The 18,137-nt window shown below is 43.5% G+C and overlaps 2 protein-coding genes across 27 annotated transcripts in view, besides 6 other annotated features; both read right to left on the reverse strand.

Annotated features, from left to right (window-relative positions):
• Positions 1-1,997, reverse strand: part of LOC124906010 (uncharacterized) — a 37,651-nt gene extending 35,654 nt beyond the window's left edge. For 4 of the 5 annotated variants that reach the window (XR_007086329.1, XR_007086328.1, XM_047446573.1 and 1 more), the window contains exons 1-2: positions 1,742-1,997; positions 1,450-1,615 (exon numbers count right to left, since the gene is read on the reverse strand). Coding sequence is in view for 2 of the 5 variants with exons in the window: in XM_047446573.1 (XP_047302529.1) it covers positions 1,450-1,615; positions 1,742-1,906 (331 nt within the window). In the remaining 3 variants the exon portion in view is untranslated. The remainder of the gene's footprint in view (positions 1-1,449; positions 1,616-1,741) is intronic. The other variant, XR_007086331.1, reaches the window with a different exon arrangement.
• Positions 1,711-1,770: an enhancer, noted in NCBI's record as "active region_15804". NCBI's record gives its function as "activates an Ori minimal core promoter by ATAC-STARR-seq in GM12878 lymphoblastoid cells {active_cell/tissue: GM12878}" and the evidence as "EXISTENCE:reporter gene assay evidence [ECO:0000049][PMID:35858748]".
• Positions 2,021-2,110: an enhancer, noted in NCBI's record as "active region_15805". NCBI's record gives its function as "activates an Ori minimal core promoter by ATAC-STARR-seq in GM12878 lymphoblastoid cells {active_cell/tissue: GM12878}" and the evidence as "EXISTENCE:reporter gene assay evidence [ECO:0000049][PMID:35858748]".
• Positions 8,752-8,961: an enhancer, noted in NCBI's record as "active region_15806". NCBI's record gives its function as "activates an Ori minimal core promoter by ATAC-STARR-seq in GM12878 lymphoblastoid cells {active_cell/tissue: GM12878}" and the evidence as "EXISTENCE:reporter gene assay evidence [ECO:0000049][PMID:35858748]".
• Positions 9,152-9,201: an enhancer, noted in NCBI's record as "active region_15807". NCBI's record gives its function as "activates an Ori minimal core promoter by ATAC-STARR-seq in GM12878 lymphoblastoid cells {active_cell/tissue: GM12878}" and the evidence as "EXISTENCE:reporter gene assay evidence [ECO:0000049][PMID:35858748]".
• The window catches only part of BCL11A (BCL11 transcription factor A), a 103,405-nt gene continuing 97,965 nt past the window's right edge, over positions 12,698-18,137 (reverse strand). For 19 of the 22 annotated variants that reach the window (NR_175964.1, NM_001405732.1, NM_001405733.1 and 16 more), the window contains one exon: positions 14,336-14,844. Coding sequence is in view for 16 of the 22 variants with exons in the window: in NM_001405732.1 (NP_001392661.1) it covers positions 14,743-14,844 (102 nt within the window). In the remaining 6 variants the exon portion in view is untranslated. Of the gene's footprint in view, positions 14,845-18,137 lie in introns of all 22 variants that reach the window. The other 3 variants (NM_138559.2, NM_018014.4, NM_001363864.1) reach the window with 2 other exon arrangements.
• Positions 13,275-13,364: an enhancer, noted in NCBI's record as "active region_15808". NCBI's record gives its function as "activates an Ori minimal core promoter by ATAC-STARR-seq in GM12878 lymphoblastoid cells {active_cell/tissue: GM12878}" and the evidence as "EXISTENCE:reporter gene assay evidence [ECO:0000049][PMID:35858748]".
• Positions 15,174-16,171: an enhancer, noted in NCBI's record as "NANOG-H3K27ac-H3K4me1 hESC enhancer chr2:60680131-60681128 (GRCh37/hg19 assembly coordinates)". NCBI's record gives its function as "activates a minimal SCP1, AML or CMV promoter by ChIP-STARR-seq in primed H9 embryonic stem cells {active_cell/tissue: H9 hESC(primed)}" and the evidence as "EXISTENCE:reporter gene assay evidence [ECO:0000049][PMID:30033119]".

Consider the following 18,137-nt stretch of genomic DNA (forward strand, 5'->3'; position numbering starts at 1 on the left):
GATCTGATGATGTTAATTTGAACTTCAAAACGCTTGAGAAAAATGTCCACTTTGCTTTTTAAAAATGGAAAGAAAACAAAAGTAAGTTACTCCAGAGACCTGGATGCATGTGGCCGTTCTAGTGACAACACAATAAGGAAAATAAAATCCATCCTAGGAGAGGAAATTATCCCACCAAAGTTCTTCTTGGCCCTTCCAAAGGCCATTTACCTCTGGGCATCTATGCAGAGTTCACTCATCACCCAGGAATTACGTGAGGAGGGTTATGCTTGCTACAAGGGAAGCCACGAAGAGTAAGACAGGATCAGATGGAAAAATAAGACATTTAAATATAATGCTCCAATTAATAAAGCCCTAAGAGCCAACCTCCTTTGTATGAAATAATCTGGGTTTAAAAACAAAAAAAGCAAAAAGCTTTATTGAAGAATGCAAAGTTGAGCTGTGGTCTTTGCAGCTGCCTGACTGAAATATAACCCTTGCTGAGATGCTTCCTTTCTCACTGTGACGTAAGCTAGGCCCCCAGACTCCTGGCTAAGAGGAGAGACTTCAAAATGCACGCTCGGCACCCAGCCTTCTGATCAGTTTTATCTGAGTCTTTCCCACACTTGTTCAGTGCACCCCAGCAAAACCAGGAGAGTTCCGTGTCTTCACTCCTTGTTGAGACTTGGTGATTGATTGGCTGGTTATTCTTTAACCCATTCACACTTAAGTGTTACCTCAACCCAGCCTTTGTGGGGTAAGCATTTTCTCTCCTAATTGTGTTATAAAAAGATTTTCATCTTATTAAGGAAATCCAGACCTTGGCAGTTTAGCGGGGCAGAGTTAGTCTAAGAAGCCCCTGCAATAACCGCAGGCTCACCCAGTCTGCCTCAAGGTTAACTGAGTTTCATCATTAGGTGACCTGGGGACCCCTGTCCTCCGGCCCCTTCCCTCTCCTCCCTGCTGTCCCTAACTTTCACTCTTCAGGAGGTGGCTGGTGGCCTATTTCTGGAGAGGGTTAGGCAGGGGCAGACCACACTTATGTCCATAGCGTCCTCTTGGGCTTGAGCCAACGCCATCAGAGTAAATGTGTCTCTCAGCAAACATCTCATGTCCTCAAGGGCTGGACATCCCTTTCCTCCGCAGCCAACATCAAGGTGACCCCTGATGTTATCTAACATAGTGTTAGTGGTATTTCATGCTTGCGCCCTATTGACCTCTGATGCATCCCTATGCTTCTTGCAATAATTTTCCCTCTAATCATAAAGGTTTAACCCCCTAAAAAGGAGGCATTTGGAAGACCCTCTCTTAATTCTTCAAACCCTGCAAGCCCTAAATGGTGAAAGAGGGGCTCATGCAGTGGTCAGAGGGTAGGGGTAGCACACTTCTCACAAGTTCATGTGCCTCCCTAAAACGCAGATCGTGACTCATAGGTCTGAGGAGGGAGGGGCTGCAGGTTGCGCATTTCACCTGGCTTACAGATGACGCTCTGTGGCTCTACGGTCCACACACGATCCCACATGAGTCTCTGGCGGGGAGCTCCCTTCACCCAGAACCCCCAGGTGAGGAAGGCTTCTGAGAGGGGGCAGAGCTGAGGGCCGGTGTCCTCATCTGTGGAGCCCATGGGGATGACCACCTGGAGACACACAGAGTGCATCCTCTCAGTGACACCCTGAGAGGGAATTCACTGACTCAAGGGTGGCAGGAAGGCCACTAATTACCCAGAAGGCTGTTTGTGCCACCCAGGGAAAGAGGAACTGACCTTTTTCTCATGGGGAAGTGCGTCTTCTCCTCTCCAAACCACAGGCTCACAAGCAGACCAGCTCAAGTGAAGTTCCTGCAATGACCACTGGGTGTGGGCCTGCTTTTCCGGCCCCTGCTGAGAGGGGTCCCTGAGAGAGGTCCACGAGCCACGCAGGGCCACCATTCCCCTGCCCTGGTTTGGAACCCCAGCCTCCCCCACCCGGAGCCAACTCGCCTCCAGCACACGGGCGCTGTGCCTCCCAGCCTAAGCCAGGAAAGAAAGCTGTGTACGCTGACACTTAAATTAGAGCCTCGCAATTATCTCTCAATCCCGGCTTGCCCTGTGCTGCTTTATCACTGTTTTTTATAGCTAAAGTTACTCGCCCTCGTTTTAAGTACATTGTGCATAAGGCATAGGCCAACTTCTGATATATTCCCACAAGCAAAATTAAATACCAGTAACATGTGTTTTAGTGAATTGGGTCCCTCAATTTGCATCTTATAATAAGGATGTTATCATACTGGTTTATGGCTGAGCTCTTTAGTTTTTATCTCTCTGGGGCTAGATTCCCCCTCATGAGTTCAATATAAGTCCATGAACTAATGCAATTTTTAAAACACTTTTCTTCTGTGTTAACATTAACACCCTTATGAGTGAAAGGGTTTTACTCCCCAAAGTGTACAGAATGTTTGCATTCACTGGAGGATGTGGCGGGATATTAGCCCTCAGTGATAGCTGTGGTTGCTCATAAGTGAAAGGAGTTGAGTCTGTAATCCAGTCTGCCACTGCGAAGAAGCCTTTTTCACCTCTTTGCACTGAGACATAATCTCTGGTGTGTTCATTCTCTTACATTTAGATTAATTATAAAACATTGTCACCAGAATATTAAAGTAATGTTTAATACACAGAAGGGAATAAGGTACTCTGGAAAATGCATAATTTCCCTATGATGATTTTGCCAGTTGCATGCAATATGATCTTTTGATTGCCAGCTATAGAAATATTGTGACTAAGCTTTCACTAGCTTTTTATTTTTGCAACCATCCTGTCATAGCACTTTGAAAACTGTAAGCTTGGCCCATCAAAAAAAAAAAAAAAAAACAACCAAGAGTGCCCATGCTAAAGATTTCTGTCAGCTTGGTTCCAAAGAAGGGAGATGATAGGAGAGGGTGAGCCTTGTACGGGCAGCACCTTCCACTTCAGCAAGCCTAACACAGCTGGGTGGTGGAGAAAGGATGGACTCTTACCCTCTGTACAGGCCCAACACACATGCACACCCATACACACACACACACACACACACACGTCCTTTGAACATGGGAAGGTGTCAACATTCCTAAATGGAAATCTCAAGTCCTCTCACTTGCTTCAGATTTTCCAAGCTCTACTGCAGCCATACACCCCGGAGGAATCATCTGAATCAACACCGAGTCACAGCTAGCAGAACTCTCCTTGCTGGCAGTGGCTGAAATGGGACCAACATTCCTCAGGGGGCTGCTCCTGGGGATTGGTTACCTCCCTCTAGATACTGGGCTCCATCCTTGGCTGTGTTGGTTAAAAACCAAGTGTCGTTACCAGCGGAGGGCTCCTGTCCTTCGAGGTCTCTCTCCAGGTCTCCACAGGTGAAACTTTTCCACGATGATAATCATTTAAAAAATAATCACAGTAATAGCAGAAGGAGCACTCCAACCCATCCGTCTTCCCAGCACACTCACTGGGCAAGTTGGTAACCCCATGCTTCTGTCACACCACCAAGAATGCTGGTAGAATTCTCAGTGTGTTTTAAAACTAAAATTAATTTTTAAATGTGTTTTCTGTTTATCCATGCCCCCTAATGGCAATGCACCCAGCACCTATTATCTTGTTTCTATTCTCTTCAAGGCCTCCTACGTCTCTCTGACCTCTACCCTCTGCTCTTCGAAAATATACTGGATGTGAAAAGCCCTCTCAACCCCAAAAGGCTCAAAGTCTTGTAGCTTAATTACCTTTCCATTTGCAACACGGAGGCCCCTTGGGTCAGAATTCAATGTGATTTCCAGTAGGAGAGGGGATAGGTTTACTTGGCTCCAGCCCACCCCACATCTGTTCTATAGACACAAGGACCCCCTAGGCCAGGAGAGGATATATGCTAACCTTTGCTGGCCTGGCTTTCTAGCCTTTACCTTTAACTCCAGGAGAAGAGTGGGAGCCCAGAGTGAATACAGCTTCTGAGGATAAGACTACAGAAACTAGAGGATAATGACTATCAAAGATCAAGGCCAGTAATGTCATTGAGATCGTCATAGTCGTTACAGATGAGGCATTTTTTTATGTCTAGATAGATGTGTGTATACGGGTGGCACATGAATAGGCATGTGCTATAAATAGATATATACACAAGGAACTATATGTGACTGTGCATATGTGCATACTTCCCATACATATACCATGATTCTGACTCATGGGCAAAATGGAAAAGAACGAATCTATGCAAACAGGCCCTTGGAATGCATGCTTGCATTTCCTAACCCAAGTATAGTATGTATGACTTTTAGTGATTATGTTTTGCTGAGGCACGGATTAAGCCTTGTGCTGACATGAAGAGGGGGTGCTTAGCTAGTGAAGGAAGTTTGCCTGCTCACAGACTTCATCTCACACAGGCCTTGCTTTCCTCCCTGTCCCCACTCAAGGTCTATACCTCACTTTTTCATTACACTTTACTATATTTCAGTGGGAGGGGAAATATGGGGCGTCCTGGTAATAGCAGAGTGTTTTCACACCTCAGGGGAACACTTCCATGTGTGTTGAACCCCTCAGACGCCTCCCGGCCGTTCTCTTGTGACTGATCCTTAGCATTTATTTACACGCTTGCTCCTAGGCCACCGTCCTGAGGTGGGGGTGTTGCAGGGTGGGCATTGCTGAGACTTGTGGCCATGGCAGGTCACAGGAGTGGAGACCACAGAGCTCTGGGAGAAACTCTAGGATGAAATAGAGAGTTTGCAATCCAGCACCAAAAAGGAATTCTTTATATGCCCTAAATATTATGACTTAAGACACTGGACAGTCATAGACTAGTCCTGCTTCCAGGAGAAACAGGATAGTAGGCATGGGGGAGAGAGATAGGGAAGGACACCAGATGATATGACTTATGACTGCAGTACAAAAATACCAAGTCTCTATTTTTGAAATGCAAGCTCCAAGAGAGTGAAGCCCCAGCCTGCACTGCCTTACTTTGTGCAGAGAATGCTTCTTTGGTTATGTATATACATGCTTGCTTATTCTAATCCATGCCTTTATTACGAAATTCATCTAATGTTGTGGCCAAATGGCAATAAAATAATATTATTACAGGACACGGGCCTGTACCAACAAGCATATTGCAAAGAAAAAACAATATAATGTAACTTTTACAAATAGGAGAATCAAAAAATTCTTAAATCACAGCTGGGTGGTGGCTCACGCCTATAATCCCAGCACCTGGGGAGGCCAAGGCAGGAGGATCATTTGAAGCCAGGAGTTTGAGACCAGCCTGGCAACAAAACAAGACCCTGTGTCTACAAAAAGAAAAAAATTCTTAAATCTCCCCTCAAAAAAGAAGTATTTGTACCTCTCTGATCTGCAAAAATCTTGTAGCGTTCTATTCTTTTTTCTGTTAGGTTTATCATTTTGCTTTGAGACATGATACTAAAGTGTTAAGTGCTTAATGAGACATGAAGTCGTCCTTTGTGTTGTAAAAATAGTCAATCCCTAGGAACTAACTGGCCTGTTTGGGCCTCAAGGTCTTTATCTTTAGGCTGTTTGTGGTGTGGTGTGGTGTAGGATCAACCCATAAGGAAGAACTTTTTCAAGCTTCTACAGTCTTTGATGGGTCTAGACCAGCACAAATGGGGAATTTAGATACAGCTTCAAACAACAGGGTCAATGTCTATTTGAATGTGTCAAGGATGACTACATAGTTTAACCCAAGTACTGTATGCACAGCAGAATCCTTCAATGAAACAACCAGTGCCTTCCAGGATCGGCCTTCTACTGGTCTCTTGGCTTGTTTTGAATTCCCTTTCAATCTATTTCATGCCCTGCTACACTCTTCCAAAACTTTTCTATGGACATGATTTTGAATAATCATTAACTGACTATAAGATTTAAGAAAGGCCAGGTGCGATGGCTCACTCCTGTAATCCCAGCACTTTGGGAGGCTGAGGCGGGTGGATCGCCTGAGGTCAGGAGTTCAAGACCAGCCTGGCCAACATGATGAAACCCTGTCTCTACTAAAAATACAAAAAATTAGCCAGGCGTGGTGGTGGGCACCTGTAATTCCAGCTACTCGGGAGGCTGAGGCAGGAGAATTGCTGGAACCTGGGAGGCGGAGGTTGCAGTGAGCCAAGATCATGCCATTGCACTCTAGCTTGGGCAACAAGAGTGAAACTCAGTCTCAAAAAAAAAAAAAAAAAAAAGATTTAAGAAAATGTTATTGACTATAAGATAAAATACAAGCCCCTTGGCCTATTGTCAAAATTTCTCCATAACATGGCCCCAAATTAGTTTCCCACCTTATGTTCCACTAGTTTCATAGACAAACCTCTTCCTGCCATACTGGTCTGGTCAGTGCCCTCCAGACACTGCAGTACTGCCTTGAACTGGTTTGCTGTCATCTTTTCTCTCTGTCATCTAAATTCTAGCCTGTCTTTGATGGCTAAAAGCCTAACATCTCTGTGGGCCTCAGAGAAATTATCTTCCTCTGCATTCCTCCAGTTGGCATCTCTCACTAATGGATTAATCATATTACCCTCTCCTATTGTTATGTGCTTTTATGCATATAATCTTAGCCCCCCCATAGGACCAACTGTAATCCCTTTGAGGACAGGGGTTTGATCTTGTACCTATTTATAGTTCCCCACGTGCCTAGAGCCTCTTGCACACTGTAGGCTGGGGGAAAATATTTGCTTATGCTGATGATCTGAGAAAGATAATACTGCAAACAGGAGAAGTAAAGATTTCTTTGTCTTGTTCCATTTGGAATGAATTAGTGGCAGGTAATCAGTTAGAGGTCAGTTCAGAAGGTTAAAATACGTGGACTTATCCCCTGTTACAGGTCTCTTATCTTTACAAAGATTGTGTTCCTGTTACTAACCTCTTTCTAAATCATTGGTGTTGTTATTTACAAGAAGGACTGGGCCAAATATGTGAGGAAACATCAATGTATACTCATCCCTACCATTTGAAAAACAAGTTTTAAGTGTGTGTACCACTGATGAAGTATGAAGAATAACGTTCCCATTCATTCCAGAGTACTCAGGCCCTTTGCCTGGGACTGCTAGCTACACATGCAAAGTGAATTCTATATCAGCATTTTGTAAAGCCCACTATTCTCACCGTACCAGCTTAACTGCAACCAGTTATTTAATAGGATTCTAATTAATTTAATTCTCCACTGGTAGCAATTTCTGATGCACAATGTCTGTGCCTTTTACCTCTTTGCATCCCTTCCCCAGCACTTAACTCAGCAGGTTGCATATAGCAGGAACCTAATAAATATTTGTTGATTGAACAAATGAATGAGCCATACGGCAGATGGAGAATACTGGAGAGTGAATTCCTCAGATATGCCTCACAAAACCATACCGGTCCTCCCAGCATCAGAAATGGACAGAAATGCAAGTACCACAGCACGAAATGGCACCAGCCTTGCTCCATAGTCTGCAGAACCAGAGCCCTCAAAGCAAAACCACTTTGAATAGACTTCTTAATCAGTTTAATTAGCACTGCTGTTAATTTTTTAAGATGGTAAACTCAGCATTGGCATTACAAGTGGTAAGAAAATTTCAGGATGAGGTAGATACTAGGAGTCAAAAGGTAGAGGTTGGGAGTAAGCATTCTGTAGTTATATGACAGTAGTAGTACTATTTGCAAAACCTTAGACATGTCATTTAAAGTCTCTCTAAGCTTAAGTAGAATGAAAATAATAATAGTACCTATACCACACGATGATCAGGAAGAAGAAATAAGAACATGCATGGAGGCCAGGCACGGTGGCTCACGTCTGTAATCCCAGCACTTTGGGAGGCCAAGGTGGGTGGATCACCTGAGGTCAGGAGTTCGAGACCAGTCTAATCAACATAGTGAAAGCCCGTCTCTACTAAAAATATAAAAATTAGCTGGGCGTGGTGGCACGTGCCTATAATCCCAGCTACTCTGGAGGCTGAGGTAGGAGAATTGCTTGAATCCGGGAGGCGGAGGTTGCAGTGAGCTGAGATCATGCCATTGGACTCCAGCCTGGGCAACAATAGCAAAACTCCATCTCAAAAAAAAAAAAAAGAACATGCTTGGAAAATCCTTATCACTGTGCCTAGAACATAGTAAATTCTCAATAAACATTAGCTGATATGATTATTTCTACTTTAACCTACGTTTTCCTCTTTACCAAGCTCTGGGCAGTCTGCCAATCAAGGACGAGAAGGGTTAGGTTCTCAGTCAGAGATCACATTTCAGAAACATCTGGGCCTGGATCTCCAGGCACCCGAAGAAGTTTGGTGCTTTGCCACCCTCAGTGAGATGCCGAGGCCCTGTGGGAAAGGGCTGCCCTCCATGCTACCCTCCAGCAGGAAAAGGGGTGAAGAGGGACCCCCAACCTTAAAGTACAACCAAAGTGATAAGATGCACCCTGAGCACTGTACAAGCAACTGTGTAAAAAATGTGTGCATGACGACAGCTTTGGTTTTCGAACAAAAATCGCTTGCTGCTTTTTTTCTGTGACATAAGCTTATAAAGAAAAATGGGTTTACTAGCCAAAAGCAAAGAAAAGCCCACCCTTAACATGGACCACAACCCCACATCCCCGTGGCCATCAAGACTGGATGTCAACACTCCAGTCCCAAGAGGCCGGAACACAAGAATGTCTCCCACTGCTGTGACTGTTGCGTGCTGCTGGGAAGTAGGAGGTAGGAAACAGATTGTGTCCTTCCTTTTTCAGAGGGAGGAATGGGCCTTGAATGTGTCACATGCAGAAAGAGGGGACACCAGGTGGGTCAGCATGGCAATGATAAAGCCAAGATCATAACCCTGAGCTGTGGGCTCAGAGAACAGCACCATTTACCAGTCCAGACCAAAAAGCACAGGAACCCCATCCTCATCCTGCCCCCAACACATAGGCCTGTGTCAGAGGGAAAAGAAAATGTGCTCTCAGAGAAGCTGAAAAATAAAAAGAGTTCCACAAATAAGGCATATTGGCTGCAGGCAAATCCACACAAAGGACCGCTTTAAAGAAAAATCTCTTGTGTTCCTGAGTTCTGAGCTTTGGGTGAGTTTCTGAAGAGGAATATTTGCATTTTGGGTTTTTCCCCTTTGTGTGGTGAAGCAACAGGTAAAATCAGTCACTCTGAAATAGAAGCATGAGTAACTGCAAATCTTAGAGCCCAAAGGAAGCTAATCTCTTCCTACCTCTCAATTGGCTTTCTACGTATTCTAGAAGAGGGACAAATCAGCAGGGAGAGAGAAGCAGAAGGTTCAGAAATGGCAGCGGGAGTTGTCTGCTTGCATTACCATCTAAGGAAATTCAGGCAACTATCACTGGGGGAAAAATCAGGCAAATTACTTCGTCTCAGACCATCCTCAACAGGGATGTTTGATTTGCTGTTGCTCAGTGAGGCTTCCCGCTGTCTTTCTCCTATTTCAGGGAGGGCTTTGCCTGTGCAGGCTCTAAACAGCTGCTGCGCACAGCAACTGCTGCCCTACCGGGCCCCAAGACATTCAAAGTCAACCCATGTCCACTAGAAATAAATGTGAATCAAAGGGTGACTGGCAAGAAAAGAAATGGCCACAGAGGCCGGGTGTGGTGGCTCACGCCTGTAATCCCAGCACTTTGGGAGGCCAAGGTGGGCGAATCACCTGAGGTCAGGAGTTTGAGACCAGCCTGGCTAACATGGTGAAACTCCATTTCTACTAAAAATACAAAAAATTAGCTGGGCATGGTGGCTTTTGCCTGTAGTTCCAGCTACTCAGGAGGCTGAGGCAGGGGAATCACTTGAACCAGGGAGGCAGAGGTTGCGGTGAGCCGAGATCACGCCACTGCACTCCAGCCTGGGAGACAGGGTGAGACTCCATCTCAAAAAAAAAAAAGAAAGAAAAAGATACAGGTTATGCTATTGGTTATTTGGATTCTCTAACAGGATGTGATGTGGCATCAAAATTCAAATTCAGTGGGTGTTTCTCTTATATCTTGTCTAGAGAATGGAACAGATTGTGAGACCCACTTAAGTCATTGGAGATGAATTTGGTTTGATGAGCAGCCCTTTTAACTTTAAAAGCTGTCTCTCAGCAATTCTTGGTCTCCAGGTTTATTTCTACCGTTGGAGGGGTGAATTAAAGAAGAATCCATTCAGGTTGTGACCTAAATCTTCTCCGTCATAGGAATACTATTTTAGAAACCTGTTTTCCGTATGGGGCAGGCTGACATGTTCCCTGCTAGTACTGGCACTACCAAAACAAGCTTTTGGGTTTGTTCTTAAATCCTTCTGAAATGCATACTTTTCTGCTATTCCTATTTCTGAATTTAGTGGGTCACTAGGGAGAGATTTGCCACTTGAATTCCTTTGCACAGGAGCTGGGAGACTTGGGTTCCAATTCTGACTCAGCCACTAACTGTGTGGTTTCAAGCTTGGCTATGATGTTTTTTTCACACTGTGATCTTAGGTACTTCACTTAATCTTTGGGCCCTTATTATTCTGATCTCTAAAATGAGTGATTACTAGGATTCCTTTCAACTTCAGTCTATTCTTTTCTTATCTAATTTATAGAATCACAAGGAAAATTGATTCTATCATGTATATAAAAGTATTCTATAAAGCTTAAGTACTTCCTGGGAGCATTTTTTAAAATACAAAGCAAAAAGAAAGGCCATGTGGTTCGTAATAAGATATCCTAATTTAAACTAAGATAGAAAAACAGACAATGACTGCTTCTGGATTTTACTGGAAGTGAGAAGTTCCATGACTTAATGTAACTCCAGGGGAATGCAAACTGAAGAGTACTGTCTCTCCTAGGCAGTCAGAGGAAAGAAATATAATATTGTTTCTCTGCTGGTTAGGAACTCAAGATGAACTCTTGAAGAAGGAAGGTGTGCTTGCATCACCAGTTATTTTGGAACTTCCACCAGACTCAAAATTCCTCAAATCTGCTTCCTTCACACTATACTCCAAAAGGAGTCAAAGCTATGTGGCATACTGTAAGAACAGAACCAACAGCCTACAAAATACTTCCATTCTAATCCTACTATTACTTCCGGGGACACTGATTTATAAAATAAGAATTATAAAATAAGAATTTTTAAAAATAGGAATAAATATAGCCATCTTCGTCAATGTTAACCTCACTATCAAAAAAAAAAAAAAATCATGTCAACGCATACAAAACCTGAAAGATATTCCTGACCACTTGAAGGGCTTGGTTTTAATCTGAATGCTCTTGGAAACTCCAAGCAAAAGTGCCCAGAAAATATGCTGCCAAGGTTTGGGGCACTCAGTTAGACCTCAGCAGATTCCAAGATTGCACTCCTTGCCTAAGAGTTTTCTTTAAATGATCACTGGTTTTTGAAACAATTATTTCTCAAACAGGCTGATATTCAACATGCTGGATGCTGGGTGCTGCAGGGGCTTTGAGTGTCTTTCTCTCCCATCATGGACCCCAATTCTAACAGACCTTTTTTATACAGTGTAATAATCTGTCCGGGCGCGGTGGCTTACACCTGTAATCCCAGCACTTTGGGAGGCCGAGGCAGGTGGCTCATGAGGTCAGGAGTTCGAGACCAGCCTGACCAACATGGTGAAACCCCGTCTCTACTAAAAATACAAAAATTAGCCAGGTGGTACGCACCTGTAATCCCAGCCACTCAGGAGGCTGAGGCAGGAGAACCACTTGAACCCGGGAGGTAGAGGTTGCAGTGAGCCAAGATCGTGCCATTGCACTCCAGCCTGGGCAATAGAGTGAGACTCCATCTCAACAATAATAATAATAATAATAATAATAATAATAATAATAATAATAATAATCTGAACAGCCCACAAAAGGCTTGGGAAAGTAAAAACAATGCCCTGTATTTGGTCTCCTCCATCCAAGTGGCTGGGACTCTGTCCTCTAGTCTGTGCTCATGTCAGGCAACCAATTTATCTCTCTGCAATCTGAAGTTCCACTCTGCAGAGAGGACACAGTGAGAACCCCTGGCAGATTTGTGAGCCTCTTCCCTGCTTCTGCCATTCATGGATAACCATGATCTTGACTCATCACACAGAGAGATGTCTTCCCAAATTGTCAATCTTGTATGGGGTTTCAAAAGTCTAGCCCTAGGCCAGGTGAGGTAGTGCAATGCCTCTAATCCCAGCACTATGGGAGGCCTAGGAGGGTGGATCACGAGATCAGGAGATGGAGACCATCCTGGCTAACACGGTGAAACGCCGTATCTACTAAAAATACAAAAAATATTAGCTGGGCGTGGTGGCGCGTGCCTGTAGTCCCAGCTACTTGGGAAGCTGAGGCAGGAGGATCCCTTGAACCCAGTAGGCGGAGGTTGTGGTGAGCTGAGTCCTTGCCACTGCACTCCAGCCTGGGTGACAGAGCGAGATTCTGTCTTAAAAAAAAAAAAAAAAAAAAAAAAATGGCTAGCCCTAACACAATACCGTTTCCTAATAAATTCTGTAAATAAATTTTTGTTGTCTTTCAACTTTAAAAGCCATGGGAAAAGACAGTCTTTTTGTTCTGTTTGTTTTGAGGGGGTTCTTCTCCACAGTGAAGAGGATAAAACAATATCCTTTATCCACTTCTGTTATCCTCTTGCCCCTTAAAAATCCCACTTTTAGAGATATCCACTTATTTACAAACTGACTCTGAGAAGAAATATATAAAAAGTGGGGGTAGAAACACAGACCAGAAATGAAAGTGTAGTGACCACCAAGTGCAGTTACAAAGGCTGAACTTGTCTCAAGACCCAGGATTGTTGTTTCAGTTCTGGCCTCCCTTTGGAAGTGGTGTCACTCTTTCTAGGCATCAGCAAGGAGTTCAGCACATTTAGGGAGGAAGCCATCACAGAAACCCTAATGGTCTTATGTTTCAGCAACACATAGGCAGAGCATGGGGCAGGGAGAGGGTTTCTTTATGAAATAACTTCTTGTCTGGAAGTCCCAACTAATTGATAGGAAGTCACAAACAGGCCACTCGTGCAATCAGGGTTATTTGTCATGGAAAAGCCACAGGGGAAAGGTGATGGCAAGGAGGCTGCAACCTCCCTTTCTCAGTGCACACATCTGTTGGTAGGAAGAGGCAACTCTGCATGCCTTTACCAAAGGCCATCCTGGGTCTGTATGTGTAAGCCACATGTGTGTGTCTGTGAACATTTATGACTTATGTGCTAACACAGGAAAAGATACTCCCTTTGATCAGTTAAACAGAGTTTGGTGAAATTAGCTCTGGACAAGAAACCAGAAAACCTGGCTTCTCTGCTTTCTCTCTTACTGATGTGGCCTCTGGCAAGCCCTTAACCTTGGTAAGCCTCAATCTCCACCTCCATAAAGTAGAAGTCGTGAGATCTGTCCCAGAGAGCAGGTGAAATAATGCACGAGACAGCACTGTATACAGTATAAGGTAGTTCACTACTGTAGACAGTCATTATTTATTATGAATAAGCAGGAAATAATTCACATGCCAATTATTTGGCTATCTTTTCACTAAGCTAGGTAATCTAGCCAGAAGGTGGATAGGTAGGATTTTCCCCACTTAGGTTCACGGCCTGTATGTGAATCTACAGCACACAGGTGTCTGAGCTCTATTATTGACAAACCTATTTTAATTTGCTATGTTGTTTCTAATTCTCTTCTGGATCTCCAAGCAGTAAAAAATACCAAACTGAGAAAAGTTCTGTGCAAATTAACTGGGCCAGAAAGAATTTTTACCACCTGTTTGTAGATGTAACTTATTTGTGGCACTAATTTCTAAGGAATAGAGCATTGCTGTGATTGTCTGTTCTGATGTGAACTTCTTTCCTCCTATAATTTCCCCCCTCTAAAATCTGCCCCAAATTTCCTGATGTAAGTACTAAAGAAGTTTTATGTTTGTTTGTCTGCATTAAGATATATTTCCTGAAGGTTTGGGAACCTAAAATTAGAATATTTAATAAGAAACTACTGACATTTATCACCTTCTTTAGGATTTACCGCTCGCCCAGTGATGTTCTTTCCTAAGCTAAATTAAAAGACAAATTCAAATCCTGCATGGTAGCCACCAAAAGCATATATTTGAAAAACAGGATTCGGCGTGCCATATTATGCATTATTTAATGGTATGCAAATTATAAGTCAGACAGTTAGGAAAACCACACTTCAGCATTAATAAACAGCAATATTACTACTACATTAATTATGATATTGCTATGATTTATTCCCAAGTTTTGCATTTTGATTCTCCTTGAAAATTTATGCCATCTGATAAGCGGTAACCTAGTTCCCCTCCTACATCTCCTGCCCATTTCTCAAATCTGTTCCTCCTACCCACCCGATGGGTGTCTGTAGGAAACAGGTACAGAAGTACAAAATCATAAGCAGCCTCATTGTCTTATAAGCATTAAAAATTAAAGAACAAGCAAACACCACCTAAAGCTCCAACATTTATTGTGTCAATGTTAAGCACACTTTTTAAAAGACAACATAGAATGTATAGAAACAAGGGGTTGGGGACTCATGCGCATTTCCACAATACAGGTAATTAGGTTGGCTGGTTTCAGAAGGGCCAGGGCATCACTCATGACAGCGATGGTCCACGGGCCCTCTCTATGGGACTGATTCACTGTTCCAATGTGGGTCTGTTTTTTTGTTTTTACTTTTTATTAAAAAATATAAATAAAATGGCGCTGCAGGCCTAGGCTGGAAGGACTCTGCAGGACTCTGTCTTCGCACAACGGCTTCTTGGAGGCTACTGTCAGAAAACATCACAAACTAGCAGGATGACAGACCACGCTGACGTCGACTGGGCGGCACGCGTCCACCCCACCCCTGGGGGCTTCAAATTTTCTCAGAACTTAAGGGCTCTCGAGCTTCCATCCGAAAACTGCCACACATCTTGAGCTCTCTGGGTACTACGCCGAATGGGGGTGTGTGAAGAACCTAGAAAGAGGTTGGAGACAGAGGAGGGGGAAAAAAAAAGTACAGGTGTGACTTGGCCCAATGATTTTCTGTTCTCTAACTAGCTTTTTAAAAATTAGAACTTAAACCAACCACAGGTCGAGCCACTGGCATCTTAAGCATGATTTCAAACTCAGCCTCCCCTCCCCAAGTATCTCTGACCTCTGAGTCGTCTTCCCATGCCTCCCTCCCTTCCGTCCCCCCAAGGAGGACCCAGGTCCCCCCACCCCTGCCCAATTGTATGATAGTCCTAATAAACTCGGGACACACCTGGAAGGAAACACTTGCCCTTATGACTGAGAAAACTTAGTAAGAAACAGTCCTTTGGTTGAGGAGAGCGGGAGAGGGAGGAGGGAAAGGGGACACCTTCTCAAAATAATAATAAAATTATAAAGAAACAAAAAATCAAAACTGATGTAAAAGCAGCACAACGAAAACATGAAATGTCATCAAGTTCAACGTCAAAGCAGCCAATGATTTACAAGAGGCGAACAAATCTCTGAAGAGAAAACCAGAACCCAAAAGAGTTGCTCTCAAATTGCACCAAAAACTGCCTGTAGTTTCTTTCAAACATGCAGTTTTCTTTTCTTTTTTGGAAGGGGGAAGGCAATGGTGAAGGGAAGAAGGGAGTGGTTATTTTCCTCCGGGGTTCCTCCCTTGCTGTGGACATTGACTTGAAGCAGCAGAACTGGGAGTCCGGATGTGCCGAGGAAGAGGGCTACCACTGTGGCATTCCAGGCCTCGTTGCCATGGCGACCCGAAGCAGGGGCCTGGGGCCTCCTCTCCCCTGACTTGGCGCCGCAGGAGGCCCGGGGTCTGGATCTCAGCTGCTCTCACGCATCCCACCCCTGAGCAGAGCAGCGGAGACCTGGGCTGAGGGGCATGCTGCGTCCAGGTGGGTTCTGGGGAATCCCATTCCCAGTCCAGCGCTAAGTCACTGTCGTCGAGGCCCCTTTAGCTGATACCCCAATCAAACCCTTTCGTCCAACCTGCTACCAATATTCAAATTCTAATAGACAAAGTATATCATGGGCATGTACCACGTTCACAGCTATTTAAAAGCACAGCCCCCCTATGGGTTTAGGGGCTCCCGCTTTAGAGGATACTTGGGGAAATGGCTTAATTTGCCTTTTCTACCATCCCTATGAAAGATCTGATACACGTGCTCCCTTGAAATAGTTTTTGCCACTTTACAGAAAGGAAAAACGTATTTGGATCAACCATCGAGCTGTGTTCAGCCAAGTTTAGGTTCTCAAGTACAATGACCCGTGTGAACTGGATTGGTCTCTTTCCCATTTGGAAGGGAGGAATTAATGGTATCCCATGACCGTAGATGACGCTGGGAAATAGAGAGAGAGAAAGAGAGAGAGAGAGAGAGAAACAGCCCCATTCCCCTAAAGGCTGAGTCACTGGCCTCGTGCTGTATGTAGTAAATTAAACAGCGGGCTAATGGGATAACGAGATGCCAGCAAGCAGAAGTGCAGACCGGACAACCCATGTCCACAGTTCATAGCTATAGCAGCCCTAGAGTAAATACACATCATACCAATTCCCTCTATGTGTTCTGATGTCCATTTCTCTAACAATGGGTTCGTTTATTTTCTATTGGGAAATATGCAGGGCTTTAGGAGACAACTAGGAAAATCTGCTAGATGGCTCATGCCTTTTAAAAGTTAGCAGTCTTTTAAGAAACATTTTTCCAAGCAGGTTGAGAGAACTCTGCCAATCCCATCCTCATATCGGCAAAGTTCCCACAATTTTTTTTTTATGGGAAGTTGTCTGAAAAAAAGAGAATGGGATGGGTACATTCCTGAACACACCAGGCCCAGGGACAATGGAGTAACAGAATCGTAATGAGGAACACACAGTTACAACACAGTCATAAGAAGTCATGTTCATGTGTGTACGGAGGGGGAAAAGAGGCTTAAAACAAGAAAACACTGTATTTCCTCCCTCAGTCTCTGTGAGCAAAGTACTACAAGCAGGAGAGGATGGGGCCTGAGGCTTCTCAACTCCTTTTCAGGAAGGCCCGAAATAATCCCAGTACCTTTCAGCAAACTGTGTCTGTGAATAAACCACCTCATTTCCTTATTTCTCCAATTGGAATTATACCTAAGCCATCTCCCGCCACTTCCTTTCAAGTTCTCACTTCTAGCATTATGATTATATACAATATGTACTTATTGCATATACAAAAATGGTATTTAAATAAACAGTTCTATATCTACAGAATGCCCTGGGAAAAACTCAACTACTTCACACTTTCTGCCATGGCCAGTGCAAATGAAGAACTGTGTTCACCTCACTTCTTAGCAACCTTTGTAATGTGTTGGTTCCAGCCTTTTTGTAGGTCCTAAACAAAGAGAGGATAGCAAATGGGTTCAGGAAGGAGGTAATATAGGCACTGGAAGAGTTTCTGGTTTAAAATCTGTGAGAAATAGAATTTGCGGTATTCCTGTTTATTAAGTTGTTCTCAAATGAAGATTAAAAAGAACATTTTAAGCATCAGTTCAGGTATGTAGAGAACATTCCATCAGCACGTCAAGCCTGTTACAAAAACTTACTTGAGGATTTTAAGAGACATTAATGTTCTTAGTAGTTCCTCATTTAAAAAAAAAAGATCATGAATTCATCTTACTATTGGAAATGTGCATGTTATTTTATATTAAGATTTTAAATTTTAGAGTTCTGGATACAAAATATCATTTATAAGTGATATCATGTTGGCTAGGTTCTCATGTTTCTATTGTTCATCAGCTTCAGAAATAATATTTTATCAGAAGGCGTCAATAAGTCAGGAGACTAAGTAACCTGAAGAACCCATCTCCCAGTAAATTTATTTAACTTTGGGACCATGTAAATCAAACATAATCTGTGATTTATCACCAGATGTTTGCACTCCTCCCCATTCCCCATTTGATTTAAGAAATTTGAACAGACAAGTGTACAGTATCCACCATTAATTCTGTCTGTCAGGATGCAAAACCTAATTACGCTAAGAGCAGCATATACTGAGAAATTAAAATGAATACTGTATATAAAACCTACACAGTTGCACTCATAGCTCCTAATAAAAGAGTAATAGGGACACACAGAGGTTTTATGGACATTTAATAGGGTGGAGTCGAAGTCACCACATCTAAAGCTGGCATGGCACTGGGGAATTATTTCTATCTGTCTTGAGCAGCATTTTGGATTCAGTTTTGGAGAAACCTAATCCAAAACACATACAGTATATCTTTTCTAAGTTCAGTGACAAACATCAAGTTCTCAAG

This window comes from Homo sapiens, chromosome 2, assembly GCF_000001405.40.
Source record: "Homo sapiens chromosome 2, GRCh38.p14 Primary Assembly".
Lineage (NCBI taxonomy): Eukaryota > Metazoa > Chordata > Mammalia > Primates > Hominidae > Homo > Homo sapiens.